Below are 18,867 nucleotides of genomic sequence, written 5' to 3' on the forward strand. Positions count from 1 at the left end.
GAGCAGTGGTCCAACCACAGGACTGCTGGTTCCCAAGCAATCTTAAAAAAGGGGGACTCGCCGGCTCAGTGGAGGTCTTCTCCACTCCAAACTGTATGCATGAATACGCTGACATTCTAGGATATCAGATGAGCTGAATCTTGCTAGGGGGAGTGAGCTCTAGAAACAAATAGTATGTAGAATTCAAAACGTCCAAGGAGAGGGGTTCAGGAGGTATTTCCTATGGCAAAAGTGGCTGAGAAACTTAAAGCAATTAAGTTGTCTCTGCTGGGGACTTTGCTCTCCTGGGCTCTGCTACCACAACACCAGGTTATCTCCAAAGGGTTGGTGATGAGCGATCGCACATCATAGCCTGGCTTAGTGCTGCTCTGTGGAATAGAAAGGAAGCCCTAGAGCCCAGTACAATAGAGAGAATACAGAAGAGGCTGGAGATGGGGCAGCTGACAAGGCGAGGGCCACATCTCTACCACCATGTGGCCATACCTTCGTGAGGCAGTGAAGTAAGGAACTTTGCAGCAGGTGCATTATGGAGCAGAAGAAAGGGGCAGGCTCATTCGTGCCTGGCAAAAGTGGGGCCCAGACGCACTGCAGGCCTAGGCACTGAGGCTGGGAGTAAAGTGATATGAGCAGGAATCCCACAGAGCGCTCTCCTAACTCTTCAGGGCTTTGGGGTGTTCTGGTTATGGTCATATTATCTCACTCAGTCCCCAAAGGGCTCTTGCAGGAGTTGTAGCAGAATTACCTCCACCCAGCAGATGAAAAAACGGAGGCAGAGAAAGCTTCAATAACTTGCTTATGGTAGTGTGGGGTGAAGAGGGGCTTGTCACCCATCTGATTTCAGCTGACACCTAAAAATGGGGTGTCCGATTTCAGCCGACATCTGAAAATGGGGGTTGACTTTGTTTAACACTTTTGCTTTGAGGAGCATTCCAGTTGTCCTTATCCCGTATGGGCAGAAGGAACAGAGCCCCTGAATCTAGGCTCCCTACTTTCTTTCCCTGACTCTGCCTCCTGGGGTGGTGGGGGAGAAGCAGACGAATAAAAAAACTATGACCCATAGTCACCAGCTGGCTGCAGTTCTCCTTGTGGGTTGTGTAGACCGTGCCTCTTAGTCTGTCTGGCTTATATCTGGCAGTAATCCTCCCCTGCCTTTGGAGTAATGGGGGGCCCTCAGGTCCCAGATACCTGGATGGGTCCAACTTCCTGCCTAAGAGTCTGAGATGGCAGAGACAACCTCAGCAGTTTCTCGAAAACAGGACCCTTCTGCCCCACCTTCAGTGCTGATCAAGAAAGGTCAAGGAACCAAGACTCTGACCAAACAAACTTAGAAGCACTGTTCATATTACACAACCCAAAGCTTTCAGGGACACACCGCTACCGTCCAGAATCCTATGGCCTCTCTCCCACCCTGTGCCACAAACTACCCCAGCACTGAGCTCATTGGTGTGGGTTCGTCGGTGGAGGGCAGCATCCTTGAGATAGCGCCAGCTCACGTTATCCAGCTAGGGTGTTAGCTGGCGTAACTGGATCCTCTCCATTGTGCCGGTTTACAACATTCTGTGAGCAACACTGGATGTTTTGTAAGCAGATACCCACAGCTAATTATATATATATATGTATATACTTCTAATTGGAGAGATAAATTAACAAGATGGCCCAAGAAGCTTCCCCAAATAAGGGCTTTGGGGACAAAAGCACCCCTGGATTTGAACGCCCTGTGACTTTTGGTGGAGACTGCACATGTTATTTTTGTTGTTGTCGTATTGGGTCCTGGGGTTTCATTTTCTCTGAGCAAGCCACATCCATGAAAGAGAATTAGCACAGAGTTCACCCTCCTCAGCTCCAGCAATAGGGACATTCACTATCCTGATAACATTAGGGCACAACACTCTGATATTATTAATTTTCAGAATAATGTTTGAGTTGCATGTCCAATAAATGTTACTCAAATAGTATTAGCTAAAGTATTGTGTTAAGAAGAATAAAGAAAAAGAAAAGGAATATTTCACAAAAAGTTAAAAACACATTTTTGTGTCACTTTTTTTTTTTCTTAAAAGTTGCAAATGTGTGAAATCAAGAGGTTTCCAGTTACGGACATGTCAAGACCACCATGAAGAAAAGGCAAATCTTGATGAGGCAAAAACCAAGGGCAGAGCAGAGAGGGAGTCTTCCCAGAGGCTGGAGTGCTCTGCTCAGACACCACACCCCACCTGGCAGTTTGCTAGGGTTATCGCTCTGCTAGGAAACATCATTCCAAGTCATATTGTAAAATGCTGGGTGGGCAGTGTGCCCAGGGGTCTGCCACATGTCCTGAAGTCAGCAGTCTTCATAGTTGTGCCTCAGGCAGGGGGGATAGTGGGAGCAAAGACAAAGAGAAGTTCTAGTACCTCGAATGAGAGCAAGTCACATCAGTGGGTAGGAATAGCTGCACTGAAAGAGAGAGGCAGAGGGGGCTGGAGGGTGTTGGAGCTCTCCGGGGCCTTGGATGGCACATTAGAGAGTCTGGGTTTTACCCCTAGGCCATGGAGTCCCAGCGAAGGGTTTTAAGTAGAGGGGAGATGAAGTCAGACCTCTGCTCTGGGGGCTGCCTTAGCTGCCATGCAAGAGAGAAACTGAAGGGCAGGGCCAGCAGCCCGGTGCCCAGGTAGGAGGCAAACACGGGGACCTTTGGAAAGGAGGATATGGTGTGGTCCAGGTTTTTCCCAAGAGGTCAGAAGAGTGTAGGGAATAAAAGCCTGGGCTCTGGAGTAAGAACAGTCAACAGGGCTGAATCCTGTCTCCAGGGACTGCTGGGACACATCACATCTAAGCCTCCATTTTTTCATCTGTAAAGAAAGATAAGACAATCTGCCTCAAATGGCTGTTGTGATGATTCAATAAGTCATTTAAAGGGGTTGGCAAGTTCCTGGCAGAAAGGCAGTGACAGGTAACTCTCAGCTGTGGCTGTCTTGAAGGGTGGGCTTCCTGAGTGTGCAGCCTGCGCGTGGCTGCTCATGGCTCCACACTCAGAAGCGCCCTGCACTTGGTCTAATACTGTGCTGAAAAAGTGAAAGTGAAATTCTTTTTTTTTTTTTGAGACGGAGTTTCGCTCTGTCGCCCAGGCTGGAGTGCAATGGCGTGATCTTGGCTTACTGCAACCTCCATCTCCCGGGTTCAAGGGATTCTCCTGCCTCAGCCTCCCGAGTAGCTAGGATTACAGGCACATCCACCCGGCTAATTTTTGTATTTTTAGTAGAGATGGGGTTTCACCATCTTGGCCAGGCTGGTCTCGAACTCTTGACCTTTAGTGATCCACCTGCCTCGGCCTCCCAAAGTGCTGGGATGAGAGGCGTGAGCCACCGCGTCCAGCCTATAGTGAAATTCTTAAGAATTTTATCTTTTGGGCTGGACATGGTGGTTCACGCCTGTCATCCCAACACTTTGGGAGGCTGAGGCAGGAGTACTGCATAAGCTAAAGAGTTCACGATCAGCCTGGGCAACACGGTGAGACCCATCTCTAAAAAAAAAAAGTTAATTGGGCCAGGTGTGGTGGCTCACGCCTGTAATCACATCACTTTGGGAAGCCGACGTGGGCAGATCATTAGAGGCCAGGAGTTCGAGACTAGCCTGGCCAACATGGTGAAACCCCATCTCTACTAAAAATACAAAAATTAGCCAGGCATGGTGGCACACGCCTGTAATCCCAGCTACCTGGGAGGCTGAGGCAAGAGAATTGCTTGAACCCGGGAGGCAGAAGTTGCAGTGAGCCGAGATCATGCCACTGAATTCCAGCCTGGGTGACAGAGTGAGACTCTATCTCAAAAATAAAAAATAATTTTAAAAAATTAAAAATTAAGGCTGGGCTTAGTGGCTCACACCTGTAATCCTATCACTTTGGGAGGCCAAGGTGGATGGATCACTTGAGGTCAGGAGTTTGAGACCAGCCTGATCAACATGGTGAAACCCCATCTCTATTAAAAATACAAAATTAGCCAGGCATGGTGGCACACTCCTGTAATCCTAGCTACTTAGGAGGCTGAGGCAAGAGAATCACTTGAACCTGGGAGGCAGAGGTTGCAGTGAGCCAGGATCACGCCACTGCACTCCAGTCTGGGTGACAGAGCAAAACTCTGTTTCAAAAACAACAACAAAAAAAAAAAATTAGCTGGGCATAGTGGTGCTTTTTTCCGGCCCCAGCTACTTGGGAGGCTGAAGCAGGAGGATGATTTGAGTCCAGGATGTTGAGGCTGCTGTGAACCATGTTCATGCCATTGCATTATAGCCTGAGCCTGTGAAGAAGAAGAAGGAAGAAGGAAGAAGGAGAAGGAGGAGGAGGAGAGAAGGAGAAGGAGGAGGGGGGGAAGTCTGATGGGACAATGGGGTGCGTACATGAGCAGAGGAGATAGGAACATATGCCGCCCTATTTGCGTATCCCATATATGATGCCCCATGAGCACATAATTCCAGTGGGCCCACGACGCATGGGAGTTTAGCAAGACTCAAAGCCAGTACAAGGCAGGGGTGTAATATCTGTGGTTAAATATGTAGGAATGCTTCCAGCCCAGAGGGGCTACACTTCCCATTTAATCCAGAACTTGCTTCAAACACTAAAAGAAGGCAGTGGTGTTCTAAGAAGCATGACAACTAAGGGACCCTATCCTATTCTTTTTCATTCAAGTTACTTCCCTGGATTAGCCAACCACGTAGGCTGACAATAATGACCCAGAAGAAAAGGAAAAGATAGAGAAACCCATAATTCCTTTTTTTTCCCAGTTCTTTTTCACTCATCAGTAAGCCAAAGGCAGGAAACATTGGTAGAATATGCACATACCAAGACGTGAAGTAAAACCATTGAGTTGGCTTTGTGCAGCATTTCTACAGTCCTGATAAGCCTGAAATCCTGCACATATACAAGCTACAAAATACAAATTGTGTCATTTCAGTGATTCCACATAGGAGTTAAGTACTCTTATACTTGCACTGAAACCTGTTATTGCTCGATATACAGATGAACAGTGGGATCCATGCAAATAATTTAAAATTTTGAGTTTTCTCAGAATGACGTTAAATAGTAGAAAGAGAAAGGCTTTGTATTTTAGTATCTTTAACTGTTCATTTTTCTTGCTTTTTGGACAAGGGACCCCACATTTTCATTTTCCACTGGGCCCTGCAAATTATGTAGGCCGCTCTGCTGCTTTTAATATTAACCCTCGGGCGGGGGGTGAGTGAAGACTGGGGAAAAGGCAGTCGAATCCTAATAGTCATTGGAGGCTAGAAGGACAGACATGTTATAGAATCCTTGCATTTGGTTCAGAGATACACCTTGGATTCTATGTCCAAGCAGATGGGCCAGCCTAGGGGTGCTCAGGCCTGTCCCACTCTCCTCTTGGACCTTGTCTCCCCCTTGGTCTAAGTGAGCATCAGCATCCCTGCTCCCACCTCCCCATGCCCTTCATCCCTACCAGCCTAGCTCCCTCAGTTCCCTCCCCAGCCTATGCAGGAGGACGAGCAGCTGCCTTTCTAGAAAAGGCAACATTAGGCCTGGTTCCCTAACAGCAGAGCCTGAGACGGGGCAGGCGGGGGTGGAGGGTGCTCTCAGGAGAAGAGGCAAGAAGCAGGACAGGGCAGGAGAAGGGGATGAGCAGAGACCCCACTGGAGTCCAGCTTCTGGCTCATCTCACAGGAAGCTCTGGGATGTGAATGACATCAATAAGTTGTTCCCATTTTTGACAGAGGCCGGGCTGTCATACCTCTTTGTTCATCCATCTGTGGCTGTAGGCTAATCCGGGGATGGTGATGGGATTACCTCAGGGTTCAGCAGCCCCTGCTCGGCCAAAGGCAATTCTCCTCCGTTGAAGGGGTCCGCTATGTGCCTTAGCCCTGGAGGATGGGTGCACTTGCTCTGAGAGGGAATCTGGGCAGATCACTGGCAGTGTCCACTACGGAATCTAACCCTGAACAACAAGGAAACCACAGCCCAGAAGTGACCTTCACAAGAAGGCACTTGGGGATTTAATGGTCAGCCCAAGTCAAAGCCACATATCCCAGCTTCCAGACCCAGACTCAATTGATCTCTTGTCACAGACCTGCCCAGGAGACACAAGGGCTCCGCGTTTTTTCATTTTCTTCATCTGACACATGGGAGTGACAACACTGTCTCACCGGGCTGTTGTGAGAAATAGAGAGGTTGGGGCAAGAGTGCCCCAGGCAGGACCTAGCACAGAGCAGTGTGCAACACACATGCCACGAGGATAATAGTTTTAAGACATCACTGTCGTTTTCTTTCTCACACTCTCTGATGTGAGACCTGCTCCCTCTTGCCTGAATGTGTATTCATCTCAGGAAGCATTGGAATTGATCTAGGTGGCGTGCAAAGAAAAAAGCAAAATACTCTGTGTTCAGTATCTGACTTCCAAACTTGGATTTTTGAATTCCTTAGAAATAATTGTGGAAAGCAGGGTTTGTTGTGAGAGAGAAGAAATCTGCCAATTCCTAGATCACTCCTTCAGACACCAAGGGCTAAACCCAGCCACCAGACAGCAAAAACACATCAGCCCCTGAGGACAAGGGTCTCTGTTTCATTTGCTGATGAATCCCCAGAGCCGAGAACTGACTCTGACCCCAGTGGGTGCTCATTTTTATCTGTGAGGAGAAAAGTGGAGTTATCGACTGTGTGGACAGTCAGGTACAAGGGAATTTGATAGTCCTATCTGGAGGGAATTTCTCTCCGGAGATGAAGGTGTTGTAGAAAGCCTTTCTCCTCTGGCAACAGAGAACAACAAGAGCAGGGTAAAGGCAGGAGGCGGAGCTTGCAGTGAGCCGAGATCGCGCCACTGCACTCCAGCCTGGGCGACAGAGCCAGACGCTGTCTCAAAAAAAAAAAAAAAAAAAAAAAAGAGCAGGGTAAAGGGCTGCTGGGGGTCCTCACTCATCAGGGGAGAGCGCTTGGGGCACCCCCAGCAGAAACCTTACTCACCAGTCCTCTGGGCCACGCTGTCCTGTGGCTGCACAGCTGCCCGTGCTGCTTCTCACATGGACCGGGGTCCTGCACTGGCATGGCCCTGGTGGGGAGAGGGATTTGCGGCTGCAGTCCTGCAGTATGGATGCCAGAGAATGCAACTGAGATCCTCCCACTGCCCTCATGCCCCGGGGACTGGGGCGGCCCTGCAGGAACCAGTTGGGTCGGAGATCAAGGTGTGGGACAAAGAGAAAAGCTTCAAAGCTTGAGATGAACCGTTGCACGTGCATTTTAGAGGTAGCTCCTTTGCCCCTTCCCTCGCCAAGCTTGCATGAGGACAGGCACTCCTACTCCTGACCCCTGAGAAAGTACATGGGCATGATCAGAGGCTAGGTCTGTCCTTGACACCCACAGGAGACTTGCCCTGGGGAAGGCTTTTTATTCTGTTGTGTCATAGAATCCTTTGGCATCCTGGTAAGGTCCGTAGACCCCTTTTTATATTTTTTTTTATTTTTGAGACAGAGTCTCACTCTATCACCCAGGGAGTGCAGTGGTGCAATCTCAGCTCACTGCAACCTCCACCTCCTGGGTCAAGCAATTCTGCCTCAGCCTCCTGAGTAGCTGGGACTACAGACACATCCCACCACGCCCGGCTAATTTTTGCATTTTTAGTAGAGATGGGGTTTCACCATGTTGGCCAGACTGGTCCGGAACTCCCAACCCTAGGTGATCCGTCTGCCTTGGCCTCCCAAAATTCTGGGATTACAGGCGTGAACCACCACGCCCAGCCACAGACCGCTTTTCAGAACATAGACATTAAATCCATAAAATAAAACACTAGGATTACAAAGGAGACCAATGATCCTGAAATAGGCATCAAAATCACTTTAAATATCTTTCATATAATGACAATATATGCTTCCTAATTAAATAACAAGATTTCATGGCAGGTCTCTAACTATCATAATTTTGAAGTTGTGATAACATGTAAGATATTTTGAGACATCCCCAGTGGTTTAATTGGGAAAAAAAATAACTGTGACTTTTGCTGAGACAAAAATCACATCTTTGCTTACATTCATGATTGAGGGAAATGCTAAATCGCAGTTAAGGCTAGGAAAAGTGAAAGTGTAGTATTTTCTCCATCACTATTCACAAACCCACAGAATTCCATCCACAGCTCTGGGGGTTCCAGGGACTCCAGATTAAGAACTCCACACTCTGAGACCTTATGACTGCCTTCCAGAGGGTCCCTCTGACACTTTAGTGATGGTTTTCAAAGCAGCCAAATCTGTGCCTCCCTGAAGCCAGGGAGGAAAAGCTGCTGAGGGAGGGGGCGGGGGCTGAGCGGGAACATTCATCTGTGTGGGCTCAGGACGCCTGCAGCAGGATCCACAGTGCAGGCTCCCAGGGCCTGGCACAGACTGACTGATTCCAACGCCCAGTGCCACTCCTGGGAGTATGCATTTTATTTTTAAAAATTTATTATTATTATTTTTCTTTTTGTGGAGATGGGGTCTCACTACGTTGCACAGGCTGGTCTTGAGCTCTTGGGCTCAAGCAATCCTCCTGCCTCTGCCTTCCTAAGTGCTGAGATTACAGGTGTGAACCACCACATGCCAGAATCTGCATTTTAAACAGAAGCCCAAGTAATAACTTAAACAAACATTCTAGAATTTCCCTGGTGCTTTGTCCCAATCAGGGACTCAAGATAGTGGGAGAGGGCCTGGGATGCTCCTCACACCTCCTCTGGCTAGAGTGCCAGCGGCATCATTGCCAGGAGATAAGCCTGCAGCTCCTGGCCCCTCCAGGGCCCCTCATGTATAACTGATGCCTGAAACATGAGGCCATGCTGCCTCTTTGCAGGGAAACCTGAGAAGAGGAGTGTGTGGCCGGATTGATGGGCCGGGAACTCGTCGCCTTCCTTCACCCGTCTCTCTCCCCCAAACTTCACCCACCTCCACATTCAATCTCAAACCAAGAAGCCCCGCCTGCTGTCAGGTCTAGGAAGGGAGGCCAGCCACCATGAGGGCAGGAAAGCAGCCCAGGCTGAAGGCGTGCATACAGGAGCACGCTGCGTGAGCCTGTGCAGGACCCCAGCAGTGCTGCTGACCATGAGCCACCAGGTAAAGGGCCTGAAAGAGGAAGGTGAGTCCACGTCCTGATCCTGCGGGGCCCGCCCACAGGGTTCCTGGGCAGCAGCAGGGGATGGGGGAAGCACATATGGTGTTCAGAGGCATAGGGAGGAGCTGGGTTTGAGTCCAGGGCCTGTCCCCTGTGCGCTGAGCGACCTCGGCTGGTTATTCAACCTCTCTGATCCTCACGCATGAGATGGGGGTAGTCATCACCTCCTTGCAGGGCTACTGGAAGGATTCAAGACAACCTGTGCACAGCACCTGTGTTCAGGCCAGCACTGGAGACTGTCACGGCCGATGCATGCTCCTCAGAGCCTGCTGGGGCGTCTCAGCCACCTATTGTCTCGGTTAGGGTTGCCTGTTCCGAGCAAGCCCCTCAGCAGATTTCTATCTGTCTCTGTCTCTGTGCAGGGCAGGGGGTGGGGGATGTTCTGACCTCATGACTGACAGTATCAGACAAATGTGACAGGCAGGGGACTCTATAATTTGCTGAGTAAAATCATTGGAGCTGGGTCCCAGTTTGAGGCAGCCACAAATCAGCTGAGGGGTCCCACAGTGACCGGGGGTCTGCAGGGAGGGGGACTCACCAGAGGCCAGCCATTTGTCAGCAATCCTGTCTCTTACAGCACGAGGCGGAGTGAAAGGGCGGGTGAAGAGCGGCTCTCCACACACAGGTGAGATGGGGTGGTGGGGTCTCTGGGGAGCCTGCAGTGCCTGGGTGCCCTCTGCTTAGCCCAACAGTCCAGCCACCCATCCAACATTCTCCTTCATCTCCTTCCCTCTCATTCAACACCCTGCATGGAGCCTTCCTGGGAGGCAAGGTGTTTAACATGGGAGGGGGCAGAGTACCACTCAGAGAAGGTGCTGCTCAGCCCTCGGTGTCAGGGGAGACTCCCAGGGTTAGTGACACTCTGAGCTGAGCCTTGGGAAGCAGTGAACATTCACCAGACAGAGGGCAGGGAAGCTCGGTGCAGGCTTCTGGCGGGTGGTGTGGCCAGATTCACATCCAGGCCCCCGGACTCTAGGAGGAACACTCTTAACCTCCAAAAAGTAGTAGGCATAATGGGTGCTCCATCACCTTCCCACTGGGAATGTGACCACAGCTCTCCCGTGAGCCGGTGAGGGAGCCAACTTGCTCCAGGAGAAGTGGGAGAGCCCAAGGAAGCCATAGGCGGGAGAGAAAACCCTTGGTTGAGACTGAGGGTTCAGGGGAGAGGGGCAGAAGCCACACTCACAGGCTGGGCATCTTCATGTCACAAAATATTATGGATGCGATGCTGTTTTCTCCCCCTTCACGTCCCAGGCAGGGCTGGGTCCTGCGCCCCACACTAGTAGGCAAGAAACCAGAATCTTGGGGAGTGATGGGGTTCTGGGGGGTTGGAAGAGATCTCCTTCCTCCCCCATTCTGGGAGGGAGGGCCCTTTCCACTCCCTCCTGTGGGAGGGCCCTGTCCTGGCCCCACTCTGGCCAGTAGGGAGCTGGCCCCAGGAGCCACTTCATCTGCCCTTTCCGCTCCTGTGACCCGCTGCTGTCTGGTTGTCGGGAGCCTGAGCTTCAGTGAGGCCGCTGTGTTACAAGGGGAGAGACCCAGGAGCAGGAGGCAAGGAAGAGCTGGGCAGAGGCTGGCAGGGGGTGCAGCCATGGCATCTCAACAGCCCTTCCTGGCCCCTATCCCGGAACTTGCCTCAGCCACTGTCCCTTCTTCCTACCCCACCTGCCTGCCTCATCCACTCTTTATCTCAATCCAAAGATGAAGGAGCAAATGTGAGAAAGTTCTATGCCCCAGGGTGGCCAGACGAGAAACCTTCCTCCCGGGGGTCGGGCCACGGTGCTCCCGTAGTGACCACTGCCTGTAGGATGCTCAGGCTGGTTCTCCACACCCCACTCCCCTCGTAGTCATCCAGATGCCGTCCCTTCCGCACCCAGCCTGGCCTCCCTCTGCCTCTGCTGCAGGGCTGTGCTGTGCGGGACTCCCCTGTGAGCAGTAGTCCTTAGTAGGACTGAAATGGAAGACCATTTTGCCTACAACACAAACCCTTTCCTACTGAAATATTCCACGTTGCCGCTGCCGTTTTCCCTTTCCCATAGAACACAGGAAATTGGTCAGAATTTTCACTTCACAGATCTAAGTGGTGAAGGGGTGCAGTAAAGTTAAACATTGGGAATATATTGAATTAACTGAAACCCAGCCCCATGAAGGTTTCCATTTTAAATCTCCTCTGGAGTCACCTGCGACGGGACCTGATATTCTCATCCTTCCCTTTATACTCTACCAGGAGGGAATAAAAGTTTAAGAATACAATGTTCTTTTCTCAGAATAGCTACAGTTTGTTACTGTGTTCCTTGAAAAGAAGGATGAGAACTCTCCCTCCTCCTGTATCATTTGGTAAGTGCACTGAACTGTTGAGATCACGGGACTGGAGGGCTGCCGCAGCCTCTCCTCGGCCTGTGTTTTGCACTGTGAATTCTCTGACCGAGTCAGGTGCTACATAGGAGGAGGCCTGTTACATTTAGGAGAGCGTGTGCTGGGCTTGGAGGCCTTCCTAGCAAGACAGCTGCCTTTCCAGTTCCTAAATTATGCATTATGTGGAGTCTGTTGAAAACTGATTATGAAAGAGAAAAAAACAGCTTATTTTCTGTGTTGAAGAGGTCTGGGGAAGATTGAAGGGCAAATTCTGGCTTGTTTTCCACATTCCATGTGAATTTCGTTCAGTTGGAGAACTAAATTACAGCAGGAATTACAGCTCAGAAAAAAAATTGTAACACCAAATTATATCTACAGTGCTGGGAAGTATGCTTGGTACAGTTCATTACCACAATGAAAACCATTGTATTAGCTGACTGAGGACACAGAGAGAGCTCAGAAGAGGATGCAAACAATGACGTTCCTATTCAGTCCTTTCAAGCAACATAGAGCTGATCTTTATGGGACCCCAGGGAACCCTTCTCCATGATCCCTTGCCTTGATCTCTGCTTCTCTGCCCTTTCTGAGCACTGAACTCAGTCCTAGAGCTCTCTTAGGGGTCATGGCTGTGATAATATTTGTTTTGCTCCGTCCCTTTTGCAACAGGGGGCTACTGCCTTCCAGAGCATTGCGCTGGAGCATTTGTAAGACAAATCATACCTCACTGGCTAACACTGACTAGCTTCCTACCCTGGATAAATTATGCAAAAATAGTCTTTCTTTACGTTGTCTTATCAAAGACTATTTTTCCACAGGGAGTGAGAAGAAGAAAGAGGTTGGGGCAGGAGTGGGCTAAGGAAACCTGCTCTATGATAAATACAGGACAGGTTCTCTTAGCTCACTCCCGCAAATAGCACACAAGACTATTCTTTTCTTTTCTTTTCTTTTTTTTTTTTTTTTTTGAGATGGAGTCTTGCTCTGTTGCCCAGGCTAGAGTACAGTGATGTGATCTCAGCTCACTGCAACCTCTGCCTCCCAAGTTCAAGTGATTCTCCTGCCTCAGCCTCCCAGGTAGCTGGGATTACAGGTGCCTGCCACCACGCCCAGCTAATTTTTTGTATTTTTAGTAGAGACCGGGTTTCACCATCTTGGCCAGGCTGGTCTCAAACTCATACCTCGTGATCCACCCGCCTCAGCCTCCCAAAGTGCTGGGATTACAGGTGTGAGCCTCCGTGCCTGGCCGCAAGACTTTTCAATGCACCTATGCCAGTTATCTCATCAGTCCTGGCAGAAACCTCAGCATTTAAAACCGAGTCTCAAAGACATGGACATGGCCGGGCACAGTGGCTCATGACTGTAATCCCAGCACTTTGGGAGGCTGAGGTGGGGAGATCACTTAAGGTCAATAGTTCAAGACTAGCCTGGTCAACATGGTGAAACCCTGTCTCTACTAAAAATACAAAAATTAGCCAGGCTTGGTGGTGCATGCCTGTAGTCCTAGCTACTTGGGAGGCAGAGGTGAGAGAATCGCTTGAACCTGGGAGGCGGAGGTTGCAGTGAGCCTAGATGGTGCCATTGCACTCCAGCCTGGGCGGCAGAGAGGGACTCTCAAAAAAAAAAAAAAAAAGACATGGAGATTATTAATGATGGCTTCAGACCCATGTTTGGTGCCTCTTTTTGCCTTTAAAATAAGTGAAGCAATCACAGCCAGTATGCTCACAAGACCTTCCTTGTAGCAGCTGCAGAGCAGTGTCACCCTCCCCACATCACCTTCTTCCATGTTGCTAGTGTGACCCTTTGATGTAGACCTTGCCCCAGCAAACATGCTCCATTATCACACCCTTACCCTCCAGATTTCAACCCAGCTCCCTGTGGGCGTGTACCCCTCTCCTCCTGCCTCCCACACCAGAACACACCCGGGACGCAGCTCTGCCTTGGACGCCTATGCCCCAGACTCCCTGGCATTTCTGCTGGGGCCCCTCAATCCCCTGTTTCCTCTGCCTGGAATCCTCCTAACTTGCTACCACAATCACCCCCTCCATTTCTCTACCCACTTCTTCTCTTGCAAACTCCTGTTCATCCTTCAAGATTCAGAGTAGCCCCTAAGTATGTATTAAAGACTTCATGGTAATTATTTTTAATTGAGCTGTAAAATATTCCACATAGTAGATAAATCACAGGTTAATTCATTATTCTATTACTGAATATTTAGGTTATTTCCCATTTTTATAATAGAAATAATGTTGCATTGAAGATTCTTGGGCTTGGGTTGACTCCTACAGGTGGAATTAACAGATCAGAAAGTATTTTTAGGCTGGGCATGGTGGCTTACGCCTGTAATCCCAGCATTTTGGGAGGCCGAGGCAGGCGGATTAATTAAGGTCAGGAGTTTGAGACCAGCCTGGCCAACATGGCAAAACCCCTTCTCTGCTAAAAATACAATAATTAGGCAGGTGTGGTGGCACACACCTGTAATCCCAGCTGCTCGGGAGGCTGAGGCACAAGAATCTCTTGAATCTGGGAGGTTGAGGTTGCAGTGAGCCCAGATTGCACCACTGCCCTCCAGACTGGGCGACAGAGCAAGACTCTGTCTCAAAACCAAAAAAAAAAAAAGAAAGAAAGAAAAAAAAGAAAAGAAAAAAGAAAGTATTTTAAAGCTCTTGTTACATGTTGCCAAACTGCATAAAGAGTTGCTTTACAATTTATATTGCGACCAGTAATAAATATGCATTTTAACAAGTCTCATTAGTCCTGGATAAAAAATTTTAAAAACGTAATACTATAAACAAGACAGGAAATCCCATTATTGACTTATTTTAAATTTCCTTTGATAACTAGTAAAACTGCATTTTCCGCCGTTTCCTAATTGCATTTCCCCATTAGTAACTTACCTGTTCATAAGTTTTGCTTAACGGTCTTTGTGTCCTCCCCCATATTGATATGTGAGTTCTTTCCATTAGTCTCATGTTTGATTAAAAAATTTTCTTATTTGAAAAAAACTTCAGAGTAAATGTTGGAGAGGAGAATTTTTTTCCTCTACCTTCCTAGGTTCAGTGACTACAGGCTCTGTAAATCAAACTGACAAAAGACAGATCAACAAGAGGGGAAAAAAGGATTGAATTACATATGTACAAATGAGAGTTCACAAAGAAGATGACTCAAGGAGGTGGTTAGAATTTGGGGCTTATATACTATCTTAGAGGTATATATCATCTTAAAGGGTGATAGAGTGTGGAGAAGAAGCTTGACAAAGGAAAAGCGTTTTGGGGCTTCTGGGTAAGTTATGGAAGGTGACTAGGAAACGTGTGGTAAATAAGTGTTATTCAGTAAGGTTTGTTAAGCAGGTAAGAGTCTTCTCAGGTGCTAAGAGTTGTCTCTGGAGTAGTTATCTTCCAAGTATAGGAGAGGGAGACCCCTTCCAAATGGAAATATATGTCCTGCTTTTAGTCCAAAAGGGCAGAGGAGCGACATATATCTAATTGCCTTCAGCTTGAAATAATCTTTATGCCGAAGTGGCATATTTTGGGATGGCGTCTTCTAGTCTCCTTCATAAACATCAGTTCTTTGTGAAGCATTTCCAACAATCCCAGCCATAATTTATCACTCCCTTTTTCTTTCTATATTTTTACAGTCTTTTCTCTTTAGTCCACAATTTTTTTTTTTTTTTGACAGAGTCTCGCTCTGTCACCCAGGCTGGAGTCAGTGGCACATCTTGGCTCACTGCAACCTCCGCCTCCCGGGTTCAAGCAATTCTCCTGTCTCAGCCTCCCGAGTAGCTGGGACTACAGGCGAGCACTACCACGCTTGGCTAATTTTTATATTTTTAGTATTTTATACTTAGTATATTATATTTAGTAATATACTTAGTATTTAGTATTTTGTGTTTTTCTTTTTAAAACAAAATACAAGGCCAGGCATGGTGGCACACACCTGTAATCCCAGCACTTTGGGAGGCCAAGGTGGGCGAATCACTTGAGGTCAGGAGTTTGAGACCAGCCTGGCCAACATGGTGAAACCCTGTCTCTACTAAAAATACAAAAATTAGTCAGGCAAGGTGGCATACACCTGTAATCCCAGCTACTCAGGAGGCTGAGGCAGGAGAACTGCTTGAACCTGGGAGGTAGAGGCTGCAGTGAGCCAAGATCTTACCACTGCACTCCAGCCTGGGTGACAGAGTGAGACTCTGTCTCAAAAATAAAATAAAATAAAAACAAAACACATTTATCTAAGTTATTGTCCAAAGCTGGCTCCCTAACACCCCACAACCTGTTGATAAGACAAAACCGATCTATTGCTTATAGCAGGCAAAGCTTTGGCAGTATCTTACAGAGGGGAAGGAAGGCCGGAACTTACTGAGAATTGGAAATTTGATTGAAGGCAGGTCTTTCAAAGTGAGAGCTGGAATGAGACTGGGTGAGAATCACAACATAATAGTCCACAATAAACAGCATGGCCAGGATTTTGAGGTGAGGCATTCAAAGAATCTTAGAGCCCAAATTGAAGAATTGACAGGTCTTTGGGAAAATCCTGTAATGAACAATCAACATTTGCCTGGGTAGGAGATGCCTAGAAAAATAAAGACATGCTCATGAAGCAGAGGCGTAGCACAAAGTCATCTTAATACAGACACTAAGGTATAGCTGGGCTCTCTGTGTCCAGACTCAGTATGAGGGAAGATGGTTTGAGTTCTCAATTTCTCCTTGTGGTCATTCTTCAGCCCAAGCTGAAGGAAAAGCCATCAGTATGTCAATCTAGATATTCACCAGTATTTGAGAGGTCATCATTTCATATCAATTGTCTGTTAACAGTTGTTTCACATCCAGTTTCTGGTGGCAGCTGTTTCAACCTGCATGTCAGTTTTTTTTTTTTTTTTTGAGACAGAGTCTCGCTCTGTCACCCAGGCTGAAGTGCATGGCATGATCTTGGCTCACTGCAACCTCCACCTCCTGGGTTCAAGCGATTCTCATGCCTCAGCCTCCCAAGTAGCTGGGACTACAGGCGCTCGCCACCATGCCTAGCTGATTTTTTTTTTTTTTTTTTTGTATTTTTAGTAGAGACGGGGTTTCACCATGTTGGTTAGGCTGGTCTCGAACTCCTGACCTCAAGTGATCTGCCTGCCTTGGCTTCCCAAAGTGCTGGGATTACAGGCATGAGCCAACGCACCCAGCCAGATTTTCCAGTTCTTTTTAGTGGATAACCCTTGCTGGATGATTTGAATGATGGCAGCAGTGCAGTAGCATTTAAAACTCTGGAGATCCCACATCTGAATGCTGGCACACAGACAAATACTAAGAGAAGGATTGTCATCAGAGTTTGTATAATCTACTTCTCAGCCAGGATCTAAGAGTGCCCTGACTAAACAAGAAAGTAGATCTCATCCCGAATCTAGAGTCCATGTAACCAAATATGAGGTTACTCATCAAATTACCCAATTTCTGATTTCTTTGTTTACTTCCTAGATCTTTTTAGTAATATCAAAGATTTCAGAGAGGTCTGCAGGAATATAAGTACAGCATTCTTCCACTAAAACAGCACACATTCCCCACCTTGGGAGATCAATATCCTATCTAAGGCAGTTCTGTTCTGGACCACCACCCACCCAATCTCATAAACCTCTTGACAAGGGAGTTTTATGGCCTTACTGGCATTGTCTAAATCATCTGCTGTTCTCTCAACCACAGCATGCTACATTTACCCTACTAATCAGATCTCTTGTAAATTATGAAACAAAGGCTGGGTGCAGTGGTTCACACCTGTAATCCCAGCACTTTGGGAGGCCAAGGTGGGAAGATCACATGAGGCCAGGAGTTCAAGGCCAGTCTGGACAACACTGCAAGACTCCATCTCTACAAAAAAATTTAAAAATTAGCCAGGCATGGTGGCGCATACTTGTAGTCCTAGCTATTCAAGAGGCAGAGGCAGGAGGATCACTTGAGGCCAGGAGTTCAAGAGCAGCCTGGGCAATATAATGAGACCCCTGTCTCTACCAAAAAAAAAAAAAAAAAATTTAATTAGACATGCATGGTGGCACACACCTGTAGTTCTAACTACACATGAGGCTGATATGGGAGGATCACTTGAGCTCAGGAGTTTGAGACTACAATGAGTTATGATGACTCCACTACACTTCACTCTGGGTGGTAGAGCAAGATTCTGTCTCAAAAATAAGTAAATACATACATACATAAAGGCATGCATACATACATAAAGTATGAAAAGAAGTGTCTTGAGGGGAGAAGAAAGAAATCTAGAATACCCCTAGGGTACTTAGGATTTCAGTTCTCAAACCAGGGCCCAGTTTTTCTCCTTCTTCAATGAAACGATCTACTGACCTCGTTTTCCTAGAGAACAAATTAATAGATGATATCATAGACAATTCTGAGAGTAGGTTTTAGTTTACAAAGGTAACAAGTTCCTGTCTAGTTTGTGAGTAATAGGAGGCTTCTGTTCCTTATCCAGTATCTGTCACTGGGGGCCATTCAGTCATCTGGTTTTGGCCAGAATACTCCTATGGGATTGTCAAATAATGCTGTAAACTGTTGGTACCATTCATCATGAATAGTTTGGTGTCAAGCAGTTAATTATGTAGTTTTGAGATCACTAAGTAGGTCTAAAGCAAACAAAAGAAGAAGAAGAAGAAAGAAGAAGGAAGAAGAAAGAAGAAGGAAGAAGAAGATGAGGAAGAAGAAGATGAAGATGAAGGAAGAAGAAGACGAGGAAGAAGAAGATGAAGAAGAAGACGAAGATGAAGAAGGAAGAAGAAGAAGAGGAAGAGGAAGAAAGAAAGAAAGAAAGAAAGAAAGAAAGAGAAAGAAAGAAAAAGAAAGAAAGAAAAAGAAAGAAATGAAAGAAAGAAAGAAAAAAAGAAAGAAATGAAAGAAAGAAAGAAAGAAAAGAAAGGGAGGAAAAAATAAAACTAATGTCTTACTTGTAAGATCTTTGAAAGCAGATAGTCTCCAAAAATATACCACTTGTTCCCCAATCCGCTTATAATTCTGTCAGTGAAAGTCTGATCACAAAGACTAGCTCTCACAAAAGGTCCCCAAGTAGTGTTTTATGGAGGCAGGGCCCTTCTAGGACATGATGAAGGTTTTGGATTTCTCCCCACCTGACCTATTGTGGAGTTGCCATCTAAAAAGTCATCCAATGGTTGAGTTCAGTTACCCAGGAAACCAACTGATTTCTTAAAAGGAACTGGAACCGAATGAAACTGGGTAGCTCCTGAAGAAAAATGTGCACCCTAGACAGTTCATGGGTTAATTGTAGCTGGGTACGAAACTCATACCAAGGAATGATTAAGGATGTAAATAGAAATATTAAAAATAGAAGTCTTATAATTTACATAACTAAAGTAGCCTTAAGTCAGGGAGAGGATAGGAGGCAGGTAAAAG

General features: G+C 47.3%; 1 protein-coding gene and 1 long non-coding RNA gene across 2 annotated transcripts in view; one reads left to right on the top strand and one right to left on the bottom strand.

The window, feature by feature from the left end:
* Positions 6,958 to 16,042, bottom strand: LOC105372504 (uncharacterized). Its single transcript, XR_937204.3, has 3 exons — positions 15,830 to 16,042; positions 14,368 to 14,554; positions 6,958 to 7,040 (listed from the first exon to the last, which is right to left on the bottom strand). It is a non-coding gene; the product is annotated as an uncharacterized LOC105372504 (long non-coding RNA).
* The window catches only part of TMC2 (transmembrane channel like 2), a 107,008-nt gene continuing 97,143 nt past the window's right edge, over positions 9,003 to 18,867 (top strand). The window contains exons 1-2 of the mRNA NM_080751.3: positions 9,003 to 9,085; positions 9,699 to 9,746. Of these exons, the coding sequence (NP_542789.2) occupies positions 9,052 to 9,085; positions 9,699 to 9,746 (82 nt within the window). The 5' untranslated portion in view covers positions 9,003 to 9,051. The remainder of the gene's footprint in view (positions 9,086 to 9,698; positions 9,747 to 18,867) is intronic.

This window comes from Homo sapiens, chromosome 20 (assembly GCF_000001405.40).
Source record: "Homo sapiens chromosome 20, GRCh38.p14 Primary Assembly".
NCBI lineage: Eukaryota > Metazoa > Chordata > Mammalia > Primates > Hominidae > Homo > Homo sapiens.